This window comes from Homo sapiens, chromosome 5, assembly GCF_000001405.40.
Source record: "Homo sapiens chromosome 5, GRCh38.p14 Primary Assembly".
NCBI classification, from domain to species: domain Eukaryota; kingdom Metazoa; phylum Chordata; class Mammalia; order Primates; family Hominidae; genus Homo; species Homo sapiens.
In genome coordinates, this window is record NC_000005.10 from 34029653 (window position 1) to 34045472 (window position 15820).

The window sequence follows — 15820 nt, forward strand, 5'->3', positions numbered from 1 at the left end:
AAGAATATTCTTGAAATTATTAATAGCAGGTCTTTCTTGGTAGAAGTTTCATGGGAAAGTTTTCCTTTCTTCATTACACTTATAATTTTCAAGTTAGCATGTATTAATTTTATATTCAGAAAAAAGATACTAATTTTAAAGCTATAGGATTGTATTTATTTATATGAACAGACATTTAGGATAGATTGTCATTCATGAAATAAAGTAATAATATGTATATATGTTCCCATCATATTTAAAAGTAACATGTATATAAGTATGCATAAATCTGAAAAGTTACATAACTGTATGTTAACAGTAATCATCTCTTGGCATGTTTTATTATTTTTGGCCCAGAACTTTTCTAATTTTTTTTAACAGTGAAAAGATATTACGTAAATAACCTTGAAAAGGTAAAAAGGAGTGTTTGCAGTTATCTAAAATATAGAAAAATGGTTTACTAAAATTAGCAATCTTTTTGAATATTAGAACAGCAAAAATTTCTCAGCATGATTTTGGATGAAAAAATGTCATCTTGGAACTGTAAAGTTTAGAGATGGGAGAATCCAAGAAGTCATTTAATGGTCAACACCCATTTCTGGGAATGGTTACAAATACTTTATGTGTAATCTTTTAAGGGACTTTGAAAGCCTCTGCTTAATCAGTAAAAGATCAGCAAAGAGAATTAACTTGAGAAACCTGCTCACGGTGGCAACCAAGAGGCTCTATGAGTTTGGGAATAAGGCTGTCTATTTGGGTCCAAAGATATGAGATTAAGGTCCACCTCTCTTAATTCTGTCACTTGGCAATTGAGTAATTAGTAATTGGGCCTCAAATTTCTATATCCCCTAAGTGGAGAATGGGGTAGTACTCTTCCTCCTCTTGCCACCACTACTACTATTGTTGCCACCTCTATACTACTAATATCCAAAGACAGGGTTGAAGTTCAAAATACAAAATGTTAACAATAATTTTAAAAGCCTTGAGACAATTCCGCCTGTCAAGAAAACTTTTGTCACTATTCACAATAGCAAAGACATGGAATCAATCTAAATTCCCATTGATGATAGACTGGATAAAGAAAGTGTGCTACATATACACCATGGAATACTGTGCAGCCATAAAAAAGAATGACATCATGTCCCTTGCAGGAACATGGATGGAACGGGAGGCCATTATCCTTAGCAAACTAATGCAGGAACAGAAAACCAAACACTGCATGTTCTCATGTATATGTGGGAGCTAAATGATAAGAACACATGGACATATAGAGGGGAACAACACACACTGGGGCCTATGGGAGGATGGAAGGTGGGAGGAGGGAGAGAATCAGGAAAAATAACCAATGGGTACTAGGCTTAATATCTGGTGATAAAATAATCTGTACAACAAATCCCCACGACACAAGTTTAACTATGTAAAAAACCTGCACATGTACCCCTGAACTTAGAATAAAAGTTAAAAAAAAAGAAAAGAAAAGAAAAGCTTTTGCTTAAAACCACCATTGAAGAATGAGCTGTGAAAGTCAAAGTTAATCCTTCGTCCAAATGAGTCATTGAAACTGAGTGTAAGTTAGATTAATAAATTCTTTAATTTGCTGGGACCTTCAAAGAATGTGAAGTTCCCTCCTTCACAATCTGTGTAAGACCCAAATGATTGTATTGTGATTTTAGGGTAAAATAGCTGATGGGACAAATTTAATAATTGCCCAGAATGTTCTCTATCAAACTGGCTACTCTAGGGCCCCTTCTCCGTGGTTTACCATTCATAGGTTATGGGTTAGAGTGTCTAGCTTTGAGATGTTTATCTTCTGTCTTATTAAATACCTTAACCTGGCTGAGTGGCATCTCTAGCCTTTTTGTTTGTAAATTTATATTGGCACATGGATCCCAGGTTGCTGAAATTATTAAACAGCATTTGGCTAGGCACAGTGGCTCACACCTGTAATCCCAGCACTTTGGGAGGCCGAGGCAGGCCGATCACTGGAGGCCAGGAGTTTGAGATCAGCCTGGCCAACATAGAGAAATGCCGTCTCTACTAAAAATACAAAAAAATTAGCCGGGCATGGTGTCACGCACCTGTAATCCCAGCTACTCCAGAGGCTGAGGCAAGAGAATCGCTTGAACCTTGGTGGAGGCTGCAGTGAGCCAAGATCACACCACTGCACTCCAGCCTGTGCACACACACACAAAACAAAACAAAACGGCTTTCATTTAAAAGTTGCAAAACCCACAAATGAGAGTAACACACTAACTATTCAAGCTATTTTAAACTTGAGAAACCAAGGCCCAGAAAAATGATGGAACTTATACAGGGTCAAACCACCACCATACACGCACAAATGAAAGACAGTTTCCCCCTAATTGATCTTTCAGGCAAGAATCGCTTTATAGTCTAGTTCTTCAAAAATCTCTCATGTTGCAGTACTTTATCTCAGTTACTTTATTTTTATCCACAAGTTACTTTTTTTGGGAAGACACTAGTCAGAAAGAAACTTAATTTTTAAAAAATGCTAGTTTTCAATGCTGATAGAAGTCCCCCAGAGGGGATCCATTTCAAAATATTAGCCCTCCTCCACCTTCCAGAAATAACCCAAAGTTAGTAATTTTCCTTGTGACCTAACCTCACATTTACAAGTTTAAGATCGTGTTGGCAATAAGAACTTTAATGATCATTTAAAAGAGAGAGAAAGAATAGGTAAATGGGTACTTGAGCCTGGAAAAAAATGTACAGTTTTAACCTCATAAATTGATTTTTTAAACTTTATGCTGAAATGAATGTAATCTGGTCTGGAACACTGAGTGGATGGCTCAAAACTGAAATTCTCCATTGATAAAGAAGATTCTGACAAGAAAAGCTCAAGTAAAAATTATACCACAAGGTCAAGTGTGGTGGCTCAAGCCTGTAATCCCAGCACTTTTTTGGGAGGCCGAGGCAGGCAGATCACTTCAGGCCAGGAATTTGAGACCAGCCTGGCCACCATGGCAAAAACCCGTCTGTATTAGAAATACAAAAATTAGCCAGGTGTGGTGATGCATGCCTGTAATTCCAGCTATAGGGAGGCTGAGGCAGGAGAATTGCTCAAACCCACGAGGAAGAGGTTGCAGTGAGCCAAGATCGTGCCACTGTACTCCAGCCTGGACAACAGAGCAAGACTCTGTTTCAAAAAATAAACAAAAATTATACCACAAAATCTGAGTTGAGAGAAAACAATATATATCAATATTTATGTATGGATTAGTATATGTAAATATAACAATGTTAATAAATACAATATTATAACTAGACATTTCATCATTCCATTTATATACTTAAATGTTTATACATTCAAGTTGGCCCAAACCCTTATTACATCTTATTACATTCTTAAAACATCTTATTTGGGAAAATAGGAGATAAGTTTATATTTAGGGTTGCCTTGGATTTGGTTCTATGAGGGACTTAGATTTCACCCTTCATAAATGTCTCTCCTCCCTAAGAATAGTATCTAAGTCCTCCTTTTGGACAGTATGGGCCTTATGCAAACATCCTGTGATGTAGATGAACAAACTGAGACTCAGATTTACTCAGGATTGGGGAAGACTTGAGGAAGCGCTCGAACATCCTGATTCCTGGCCCCTTTTGGTCAGGCAGGTTGGAAAGCCACCAGGAGATGTACCGAGGATGGTTTACCTGAAGTTCTGGTGGAATCCCCGGGTAGCCCTTCTCTCCTTTGGGGCCATGCTGCCCCCGCTCCCCTCGAGGCCCCAGGTCACCTTTGTCGCCCTTCTCACCTTTGGCTCCTTCATGACCAGTGGCTCCATTGTTGCCATTGTTTCCATGGTTTCCTTAAACAACCAGACATCATCACATGAGAAAACCCAGTCACTCATACTTACCATCCATTTCTAGACATACTATCCAAACTCAATTATGAAAGGGGACCATTCAGAATAATCCCAAATATAACCAAGGGGTATCATCATCTAAATAGGGCAATAGGCTCTGAAAGAAGCCTTAGATACCCTAAAGCTCCAAAGCCTGTTTATCCTTTGAAGCGAGGCTTGGAGGAAAAATTGTGTACAATTCTGATTATCACATTATCATTTAAAATAGCAAAGATTGGAAACCACCTATATAATCACCAATACTAGGAGGGCATGACATATTCTAGAAACTATGTTATATAGTCATAAAAAAGAAGGCTGAAGAAAAACATTTAATGATATAGTGATATTCATGATATTTTTAGATTTTAAAGTTATAAGTGGCCAGGTACAGTGGCTCACAACTGTAATCTCAACACTTTGCGAAGCCACAGTGGGAGGATCACTTGAGCCCTAGAGTTTGAGACAAGCTTGAGCAATATGGTGAGATCCCATCTTTACAAAAATAGAAATTAAAAAATTAGCCAGGAGTGGTGGTGCACACCTGTAGTCCCAGCTATTTGGGAGACTGAGGCAGGATGACCTCTTGAGCCTAAGAGGCCAAGGCTACAGGGAGCCTGGATCATGCCACTTCACTCCAGCCTGGACAAAAGAGCCAGACTTTGTTTCAGGCAAAAGAAAGTTATGAGTAAATAGAAATAACATGATACTATCTTTGTTTGGAAAAATATGTGTTTATGTATTATATCCATAGGGAAAAAAAGACAAGAATAAGTTACAGAAAAATATTCACAGAGGTTCTTTTCTAAATGTGGAACATGAGTAATTTTCATGTCATTCTGTATATTTTTCTGTTTCTTTGAAGTTTTCTACAAAAAACACATCACTTTTATAACTGGGGAAAAGGTAAACTCATTCATTAAACAAATTACAGCAATGATTTTGAAAGCAAGAGTTGGAAAACAATTTTAACTTTTCCCTTTGCCAACAAGAGACAATTTCTACACCTCTTCTTTATTTTTAATATTTGCTAAATTTCAGGCTTTTTGCTGTTCATTTTGCATGCTACCCTTGGTTGGTTATCATACCAGGCTTACAACCCTACCAAATGGATGAACTTTGACTGTGTTTACAAATTAATGTGTTCAGTGACAAAGCCATTTCCTGGTTAGAAAACATTTAACCAAGGCCAATCTTTTGTGTAACCTCACAAGAGTTAAGACCTGAGAAGATTTTACAAGGGTCGAAGTAGGCCCTACCCCTACATCATTGCTCCTGCTGGCTGCTGTCCTTGATGGCCAATGACATAGATTCCAAGCCAGTAAGTGTAGTTTAAAGTTTAACATAAGATTTTCTTGCTGTAAATTTGGTTTTGTGCAAGAAGCTACTCAAAAGTAGAAAAAAAATTGAACCACATTTGATAAATATTAACATCAATGAGAGTAAGTCACAGAAGAGCCAGTGGACTTTGGCCAGACCCTGAGATGAGGTCCTACCCTAGGGATTAACCTGAGGATGAAGACAATAAAACCCAAGATAGGCTTGGGAGCCCCATATTGAGGAGACCTGGGCTACCCTTTCCTGGACTGACCCAGGGTACCAGCAGGCCCGCGGCACTCTCCTATGCCTGGTGGCATTGGCACAGTACAGATGACTGAATTGCTGGTCTAGTGGGGTCTCATGTAGCTCCAGAGCATTCCCCATACCACTACATGGTACTGGAGCCTAAAAATGTTTCCATGAGGTCAAGAGTGGCATGAGAGTCAACTGAGAGACGGCTGAACATGGAGAGATCCTGAGACTGGAGGAAGAAGCACTTAGCTGGACCTAGAGTCACACAGAAGGATGCACAGCTCAGTGACTGGCATTGAGATGGCTGTAGCCCAGAGCAGTAAGCTTTTGGCTCTACTCTGCCCTTCATAAAGCATGCTGTGGCAGATATACTGGAACGAAGACTATGACCTGGTCGTTTCGGACTCAATGCTGTTGAGGAGCCTCCCAGCCTATGAACCTGGTATTCCAGGGTGCCAAGAGTCTAGCGGATCCTTTGGATCACACAGAAGTGATCCCAAATTATTAAGGTTTGCCCTTTGCTCCTACTTTAGCTCAGGCTGCAATTAGATTGACAGTATGTCTTGCTCATCCTTACCTGGAATGCCAGGAGGGCCCGGTGGCCCAGGGGGGCCTTGGTAGCCTCGAAAGCTGTAGTCTCCATGACAACACTTACTGCAGTCTGGGGGTAGTCCTCCGGTTTGTGGAGACTAAAAAGACAGAAAGAGAAGCTTCAGAAAAAAAGGTACTTGTGAGCAATTAGGATTTTTAAATTTCCACTGGCCTTGGCCCTTAGGTAAGCTTAATTCCAATCGAATCACAGCAAGATCACAAAAGATGGGATGGGGTGGAGATATCAATGGCAAAGGGTCAGGGAGTAGCTAAGGTCAGTTGATGATCAAAGGAAAAGGCAACAAGAAAGTCAATAGAGGAAGATGCTCTTTGAAAAGCGTGTGGGTGGGGGTGGGAAGTTGGGTCCTATTTCTGGAAAGTGCCTTCCTGCTGCTACTGTAACAGCAAAGGAAGAAACTCCTTCAGAAGTGGACTTGGAAGCCTTTTCTCTTTTCCAACTGCCATAGCCCCAGATGTAGCTAAATTGAGTAGATGGTCCTCAAATTACAAGAATTATCCACTTTAAGCACTGTTTTTAAATGCTTACTATATCCATGATACTGAGTTAAGAGCTAGATTAAGATCTCTTAGAAATTCTGAATAGTAACACTAGTTTTTCAAACAGCCATAGCACACTTAAATTGTCTTAGAAAACGAAGGAAATAAAGTATTTTTTAGTCCAATACATTTATTTACTTATTTAACTGACAACTAGAAATTATATATATATTTATCACGTATAACATGTTGTTATAAAATAAGTACACAGTGTAAAATACTAAATTGAGCTAATTAACATATGTGTTGTCTCATATACTGTTTTTGTAGAGAGAGCACTTAAAATCTACTCCTAACAATTTTCAAGAATATAATACATTGCTATTAACTATAAGTCCAATACATTTTTATTAATTATCTACATCTTGAAACAACTTTAACTTTATCAGTAAATCAACTATTTAACATGATTTCTATTTCACACATTCCACTTTAAAATGTGAAATGATTGGGCTGAGCATGGTGGCTGATGCCTGTAATCCCAGCACTTTTGGAGGCCGAGGCAGGTGGATCACCTGAGGTCAGGAGTTGGAGACCAGCCTGGCCAGCATGGTGAAATCCCATCTCTACTAAAAATACAAAAATTAGCCAGGCATGCTGGTGCATGCCTGTAATCCCAGCTACTTGGGAGGCTGAGGCAGGAGAATCACTTGAACCCAGGAGGCGGAGGTTGCAGTGAGCTGAGATAGCACCATTGTACTCCAGCCTGGGCGACAAGAGCAAGACACAGTCTCAAAAAAAAAAAATTGTGAAATGATTATCTCACTGTTTGAACCAATGTTTAATAAGCACTTAATGGGTACTAAACATGCTCAAGTATGACACTGAGTGAAATGCTTATTTATACAAAGATAAATTTCTAAAATGTATGTTTACCGTCAAAGAGCTAAAGACCTAGTGGAAGTTGATTGACAGAAGAGTTAAAGTTGCTTATGAAATTTGAACTCCCATCTAAACTGGCAACTTGCCTATTAATTATGTCATACAAAATACTTGTGGAAATGTTCCTAGACATCAATTATAATTCAACGGTCTTTTGAAAACAGCATGTTGTTGCTAAGAGATTCATGAAAAAAATGAAGCAAAGGAGAGAAAAAGGAGGCCAGGGAAGAAGAGAAAGAAAAAGGAGACACAGAGGGAGGAAAAAAGAATTTAAAATTCAAGTTGTATTTGTCACTAAAAATTTAAGCAGAGAACTGGATCAAACTTCACACAGTTAAACACTTAGACCTTACTTTCTTTTCTTTAATAAAAAATGGGCTTGAATTTTGTTCTCACTCTCTCACTGCTTTGTCCTAAAATTTTCCACCAAGCTATTCAGGGAAAACACAGAACAGAATCTGTAGCACAAGCATTCTCCTGCAACCTCTCAGAACCCAAGTCTTGCCTGATCAGGAGCTATAACTTAGAGCTAACTCCTAGTCTTGTCTTCAGTCTACCAGGCTCAAACCTGGACAAGAACTAGAGTCTATGAAAACCTTCTGTCAAATTGGTAGGGGAAGAAAAGTCAACTAAAGCCATTGGTTTGAGATGAGGGATTTCATCTCAGGGATTTTATCTGAGGGATTTCAGGACACTTGGAAAGTCAAAGACACCACGGCACACCCCACCTTCTAATCCAAAACTGTAATCTGAGAAGGAAGGATTCCATATTTCCTGTTATGGTTTTGCCAATGTGAAATTCAGCCTTTTAAACCTCAGAAAATCCAGGGCTCTGCCAATGATGAATTTTAAGGATGGAGAAGGGAGGGGAAGGAGGGAAAATCCTCAAGTGGAACCATCGATATAGGAATGGAATGGAAATACTGAGATGCTTAGGAATGTTGAAACACCCACTGGACTGAAACCAGAATTTCCATCATGGTGCTGTGTGACCTTAGAGAAGTCGCTGTTCTCCAGACATCTTTTTTTGTTTGTTTTGTTTTTGGCTATTAAATCAGAGGATTGGATGAGGTGGTGTTGGTGCACAGAAAATGACTCTTCAAAATACGTGCTTCAGCGTGTTGAGTGCTTTGGAAATGGAAGGCTTCAGAAATAAGCCACGAAGATAAGGTGAGCACAGGGAGGATGGAAGGCTCTGCAGAGCAGGACAAAAGCTTGCTTGATCTTGATTTTCAGTATGAATGCAGATCATGAGAGAGGGGCCTCATGATCCTTCTGAACTTAGGTGTTTTAAGAAAGACGTATTGGAAGAGCTATCACAGGGAAAACTGACTTGTGGCAAATCTCTTATTAAAAAAAGAGAGAGAAGCCTCAGATCCAAGGTCTCTCTCTGACCTTTCCCTGCCTCCCAGTCTCTCTGATCTTCTTTCCAGAAGTGCCGGGAGGGACTCTGTCTGGAATTTCTTTATTTGACTAAGAAAGCATCTTTCCAAAAGAAATGCAATTGTCTTAAGACCCCCTCCTTAGGAATCTCATCAAATAACCAGGAAAGATTAACCACTGGAGAACTGAAGAGACTGGGAGTCATCACAAGGCTCAGACAGGCTTTTTTTCTATTTCCTGAGGGAAGCTAGGAGCCATAATCTGGGAAGCTTTAAGACAACCTCTGTTCACAGTAAATTTCTCTCCCTTCCCTTCTTGATACTGTTACAGTAGGTAGCTACTCAGACATGAGCAGGGTAGGGGAGGGCTCCACCTGACCGGGAATATCAGGTGATCATCAGGTGATGATCAAGTGGCTTTTAACTGTTTCTCTAAAATAATAATTGGTTGCAGCCAGTGCCGGGTAAAGGCAGTCTTCCTAAAGATAGCAAAAACCTGAAACTGGTTATCGGCAGCTTCCCAATAAGATCTCAGGAGTTGCGCAAGTGGGCTCAAGCATGTGCATTAAGAGGCAAAATGGCAGAGTTTAATTGGCAAATGACCTCCTAGGAGCATTTGGCTGGTAAGGGAAGAATACCTCAAGTGAGCATGGTTACAACTCCAGTAAACATACTATGCATGCTCACCTCCCAAGTAAGTGCTGGCAGGCCACTACACATGTGGACAACCCACCCCAAGGGAAGAATCAAGGGAGAAGTAACGCAAGACCCCAGAAGTATGCCAACGTAAAAAAACCCCAAGTCAAAAGGTCAAACCGTGCACTTGTCTTTCAAGTTGCCCATTTAGCCCTTTCCAAGTATACCTGCCTTCCTTTTGTTCCTGCTCTAAAACTTTTTAATAAACTTTCATTCCTGCTCTAAAACTTGCGTTGGTCTCTCCTTCCGCCTTATGACCCTCAATGGAATTGAGGAGCCAAGAATTGAGGTTGTTGCAGACCCGTGTGGATTCACTTTTGGTAACAGCACCTCCCTCAGGGCTCAGAGGAACTTTGTAATTTACTTCTACATTCCCCAACTCCCTGCTACCCTACGTGGAAGGGTGTGTAAGCATGCATACCACATTGGGCTATTGGGAAATCATCCCCATGCGGTATGTGTGTTTCTCCTATTGATCTGCCTTTGGACAGTTAATTTTCAGAGAATCTTCAGAGGATGAAACAAGAGAAGATTTCCCACTTTTCCACTACAGTCGTCTCGCATTTTTTTCCAGCTCTACAATGCAAAGATACTAAAGTATTTTCCAAAGCCTCAAATAATAATTTAGAAACATTTTGTTTTTAGTATCTAGGCACAAGAATTCAGCTCCAGGAGATGAAGTTGCTCAATGCTAGAGCCAACTAGGATTGGAAGTGCAAGACCAAGCTACTTGAGGGCACTTTGAGGGCACAGAGCTGCCACCAGAACAGTGAGAGACTTCTGGTTACTACTAGTCGAGCACCTCGTGAGAACCCTTCAGCAGCATTGCATTACACGTTCCTTCCTCTGGCCTTGTCTTTCAAAGTTCAGTTGAATGGAGCAATGCTTTTGCATTGTTGAGTCTTTTGTTGGAACTCTTAGAACAAGTTGGAAGGGATGTGTTAATTCAGAAGTTTTCTCCTAGGTAAGGGAAAATTACATGTAGGTAGTTGCTATTTATGACCTCCTTGTTTATCATCCCCTTTCCCAAAAGCAGGACAAATTTGTATGCAAAAGGCAGGTAAATTTGCAGCATGCGAGAAAGAGTTTGTCTCTAAGAAATGCTCCATCAATTTTGCAGATGGAGGCCTAGGGGTAGGGATGCAGAACTGAGCTCTACTACTAGTAAGTGACTTCTAGGAAGGAGAGTCATAGCTCCTTTTTTTAAACCTCCTGCCCCAAAAAAAGGGAAAAGAAAGAAGAGGAAGGGAAGTGGGAGGAGGGAGAAATGGGTATCCGGGAGAAGGAGGGGAGATTGACAAAGGTGAATGAAAAAGAGGCTACAGAGAAGAAAATACCAGGAAAAAAGAGCCCAGGTCTGCCCACCCCAGATCTCTGGCCATTGTACTCCACCATGAACCCACAGCTGGAGCATCTTTCCAGACCATATATCTGATTACCTCACTGTCCTGCTATGAACAAACAAAACCTAGCTAGCAAAGCAAAATCTAAGCTCCTAAACCAGCTAGCAGAATCCTTCTTGGCACTAAAGTCGTGTAATGTCCCGTCGTCCCCCCAACCCCCACCCCTGCATCCCCAACCCAGGAGCTTCAGCCACAGCCAACTCCTCACAGGCTTTCCAGTCTCTGTTGCAGCACTTTTTTTTTTTTAATTTGCTGTGGATAGTCATTCTTTTAATACCATCTTTTAAGATCCAGCTCAAAAACTATCAGTACTTTGACACTTTTGCCCAATTGCCTTTCATGTACTGACTTTATTTAACACATGGCATTTAATTAAACTTAATTTAATTAACAAAAATTTATCTCTACTACAGCCCTTCAGGATGGTTTGGACATGGGAGCTCAGGCATATTTATCTTTATATATCCCTGGCCCCCCTTTTAAAGTTTGGTACAAAGTAGAAGCACAAGAAATACACGGGAACTGAATGAATAAGAGGAAAATTGAATTACGATCAAAGAAGAGGGACAGGGGAAGTAGGGAAAGAAGGAAGAACATAGCACAATCCTAAATGCAAACTGTGGTTTCCATAGCCGTTGGTAGAGGAGTTGTAGTGAAAACTTCCAGAATGTCAGTAACTCTAAATATCCTCAATATCTCCTGTTGGTGGTTTGTTTGAAAATACTTCAGGAACCTAGAAGGTAGAGTGAAGGAGAAATGTGATTTGAATTTCAGTGGCCTGCTGGGTGTTGGTTGTCAGGACATAATGACCAAAGACAACCTTTAACTTCCTTCTGCTTCCTCTGGGGGAATCACACTGTCATGGCCAGGAAAGATACCATCTGTTGGCCAAGAAGGATACCATGTGTGAAATGGAAAGTCCAGATCAAGTCTTGGACACAAGTGAAAATATCTTCACCACAAAACAAAAACAAACAAAAACCCACACACAAATTAGTGCTAATCATTACCCTTTAGCCAAAAGATTATCAGATGAATAGACAATCTCTAAAAGTGGTTTTCAAAAGATAGGATCATATTTAGAGATTATCATTTCTTCCGTGGCTCCTTAAAGAAGCAATTTTCTCTGGATGCATCCCCCACAGAATGGTTTGGGCAACTGCCTTGTGTGGTCAAGTTAGAAGTTCTGGGTTAGTTTCAAATCTGCAATTGATTCTGTGTGTGATCTTGGTCTGACCATATAACCAAACAACCAACCCAAACTTCTGAATCCATGGTAGGAAGGATTTAGATTTCAATTACAAGAAATTCTTCAGGTCCTATTTAATGCATTAAAGTAATCAAATCTTGTAGTAAAAACCTGTATGTTCAAATATCATATAACTCAAAGTAACTCTTCTTGCCCCCTCTGACAGTTTTCAGCATACTAGATGTCTAGAGGGTAATTCAAAATATGTCTCTTCCTGTACTTAATATTTTAAATTACATTGAGTTTCACCAATTTGCAATTCACTATACTGAAATCTTAACTCACTCTCATACTACCAAGAGTTAAAGATATTTCCTTAGAGCTGAATTTATAACCTGAGAAATAGATCAAGTCCTCTGTGATTATCAGGCATCAAATCATGCTATAAGGTATGCATTTCAAACAGTTTATTTTTTATTTAACTCTTTAATTCTTTTTAAAACAGGCTGAACAGAGAGGCTTAACAATCTAGAATGCTATAAATCAAATAAACAAGACTGCCATGAAATGTCACAGTATACTCACAAATCAAAGTAAAAAAACTTTGATTGCTTTTGACAAACTCAAAGGGCAGCTTCTCCCTGCCGGAAGGGATGAAGAAAGCCCAATTCTCTTAAGAACAACAAATGATTGTCTACAGTGACCGATCTGTCTGCATGGGTCAGCACTCCTTTCCGGACCAACAGAGCAAGAAGGAAATCAAGTCCCAGCATAGCAGGAAGCTGGCTGGCCAGGTTCCCCTTTCTGATGGGGTGATGCTACGGCCACTATCCCATCACATCATTGCTGCCTCTGCTGATTTTCTAACAGAGACCGACAGTCTCTCTTGTACCCAAGAGCAATCCAGAAAGAGATTCACAAGCAGCTTAGCGAACTTCTCGAAAGCATTCATTGATTCTAAGAATCTTAGCCAAAAAAAGAACAACAACAAAACAACAACAACAACACTCATTAAGCTTTCACAAAAATCCTTAGAAGAGAATTCTGAGTACCTGGCCCCAGAATGTGGTGATCTGGGCTAGGTCATCTACCTCGGGGTGCGGTAGCTCATCTGGTCTCAGGGATTTTAGGTCTGTAGAAGTGTTATTATCCACAGTCCCAGTTTTAGGATGGCTCCGCTCTCTCACTTTCTCCCTCCTGGAGCCGCTACGGCCAGTCTGCTGGTGGCTTTGCACTATTCTTGCCACCACTTTATTAGTTCTTCCGCTCACCTCCATGTATTCATCTTGACACAGGCAAAAAGGGAGGAAAAACAAAGCCAGCAGTTGCCAATAGATGAGCTGCCTCCAAAGCATGATTCTCAACAGAGCCTCAGAGTCTCCCTGAGAAGACAGCAGAGCTCCAGGAGCGTGGTCTCCTCGGGCAGATGCCAGGACTGGAGCTGAGAGCTGCAGCGGCGGAGTGGTTTTATACTTTGGTGTGTAATAAATAAGGCTGTAGGCATGCCAGAGTGACAGCAGCCCTCCTCCCCAGGCAGAACAGCCCCCATTCATCATTTTCCCACACCACAAGCAAGAACGATTTGTGTGCACAGTTCCCAGTTGGCGAAATTCATAAATGTCACACCTTGGCACGTTTCTGTTGAAGTGTGAAGAAAACATACACAACCAGCTGGGAACAGAGAGCATGTGTCCAGCAGTTTGCTTTTGTGATTAGACATGGAAAGGCTGTGTATTTGCAGTCTAAAAAGCCTTTTGGAAAAATCTACCCTTGTGCTTGCCAGGAAATTCAGGCTTAACTGCATCAGTTTTGTCTGAAATAGCAGTGGGAACCCATTCAGGGCTTTCACGACAGCTCTTGGTTTCTAGCTGTACTGTTAGTATTTCCCCACTTTGGCCCACTTAAGGTAACTCATTTCCCCTTCCGGATACCAGTGGCAGAAGGCAGTTGGTTGCCTACAAAACACTGAGCAGGATTCAGGTGCAGTGTCTCTGGGTTTAGCAAAGGTATTTCGCCACCCTCAGCTTTACTTCTTTTCCCCATGACTTCCCAAAAGCCAAAATTAAATCAAAGTTAACTAAGTCACTTATTGTCAGATGAAGATACAACACCCTGCTTTGTGTTAAGAGAAGGCTGTCTCTGGCTCCTCTTTCTTTTGACATATTCTTGATTAAAATAGAAACGGGGCCGGGCACAGTGGCTCATGCCTGTAATCCCAGCACCTTGAGAGCCCAAGACAGGTAGATCCCTTGAGCCCAGAAATTCGAGGCCAGCCTGGGCAACTTAGTGAGACCCTGTCTCTACTTAAAAAATAAATAAATAACAAAACTGAAGAAGTGGAAAGCACCAAACACGTTATTTCAAACACAGCGTATCCAGATTAAGAGGATTCTCATGTCTTTGCTTTAGTTGCTATACTTTTATTAATTCAGCCAAAAAGAAAATGGACATTCCTAATTGCTTCAGGATAATAAATTAAGAGAATTTAAACAGTTTTGTCATCAAAAATTGCTTCTATTTACATATGATTTTATTTATATTACTCATTCACTCGCTTAAGAAAATGTTACTGGCCTTCTCTCATGAAAACTGGAGAGACCCAGGACCGTAAATAGCATGGGTGGCAAGCGTCTGATGAGAAGGGGGCGAGGAGGCACTGTGGGAAACTGAGGCTTGGAGAAGCTCAGCCTGCTGATGAAGAGTCAGAGCAGCTGGGGAAAGGGGAGAGGAGAGAGAGCTGTTGACAGCTGCCCCCATTGCTCAGCCAAGGGCCTGAGAACCAAGAGCCATCTCTGGAAGTGGCCAGAACTGTCAAAACTAGCCTGGCCCCTCCTGCAGCTACCAGAACAGCCGCTTCCAGAGTCCACACTTATACATGGAAAGGGTTTGGTGCTGGGGACGGAGGGAGAGAGTTACTCTGTGAACTAAAAGCTCTCCAGGCCACAGTTCAGGGGCCTTGGGAGTCATGTTCAGTCCAAGCAGTCAGTTCCCACCTAGTAGGGCATAAAAATTCAGCCATCTCTGTGCTACAAGTCTACCCTTGAGCATCTAAACCTTCCTCACTGGAGGATTCCTTGAGTTCTGTCATGTCCACCATTAAAAGGTAGATGTCCCTGGGAAGGGAAGTGTGTCAAACTGTTATTCTTAGTAACTGAGGATTTTCTTCCCAGACCTGGAGCTGGAGCTGGGGAAAGGATGGCGCCTGTGTTTGGAGGGTGAGCAAGTGGATGGGCTTTTGCTGTGGGAAGGAAAGCCCAGAGCAGTGTCTCAGTGGGGGTGTTCCCTCCTCAGGGAGGCCCAGAGAAAATGTCACAGGGAGACCACAAAGCAAGCAGTGGCTCTGAAATCTAGGTCACCCAATTCACAGGTTTTCCAAGAGCTGTCTCTGGCTCTCACCATCATGCATCCCCCACGAAGTGGGCCATACTGCTAAGTAACTATAAATCAGCCTCTGACTTTCTACCGCATTGAGACTTTCCATTCGTGTTTTCAATCCTGTCATCTATTCTAGTGGTTCTCAACCCTGGCTGCATATTAAACCAAGGAGCTTCTAAAAATATTAATGCCTGGACTCTATCCCAGACCAATTGAGTCAGAATCTGTACTGGGGCCTGGGCAGTTTTTAAAAGCTTCCCTCAGATGATTCTAAGGTGCATCCAGGGTTAGGAATCACTGATCCATCCTCTCATTGACTCAAAAGGA

The 15820-nt window shown here is 41.2% G+C and overlaps 1 protein-coding gene and 1 long non-coding RNA gene across 4 annotated transcripts in view; both read right to left on the reverse strand.

Moving 5' to 3' along the window:
- Window positions 1–15820, reverse strand: part of C1QTNF3-AMACR (C1QTNF3-AMACR readthrough (NMD candidate)) — a 137543-nt gene that overhangs the window by 42667 nt on the left and 79056 nt on the right. Inside the window, exons 2-3 of the long non-coding RNA NR_037951.1 lie at window positions 5995–6106; window positions 3652–3806 (exon numbers count right to left, since the gene is read on the reverse strand). This is a non-coding gene — a long non-coding RNA (C1QTNF3-AMACR readthrough (NMD candidate)). The remainder of the gene's footprint in view (window positions 1–3651; window positions 3807–5994; window positions 6107–15820) is intronic.
- C1QTNF3 (C1q and TNF related 3) overlaps window positions 1–15820 on the reverse strand; it is a 226867-nt gene that overhangs the window by 11795 nt on the left and 199252 nt on the right. The window contains exons 1-3 of one of the 3 annotated variants that reach the window (NM_030945.4): window positions 13390–13561; window positions 5995–6106; window positions 3652–3806 (exon numbers count right to left, since the gene is read on the reverse strand). In NM_030945.4, the coding sequence (NP_112207.1) occupies window positions 3652–3806; window positions 5995–6106; window positions 13390–13473 (351 nt within the window). In that variant the 5' untranslated portion in view covers window positions 13474–13561. Of the gene's footprint in view, window positions 1–3651; window positions 3807–5994; window positions 6107–13170; window positions 13562–15820 lie in introns of those variants that run through there. The other 2 variants (NM_181435.6, NR_146599.1) reach the window with 2 other exon arrangements.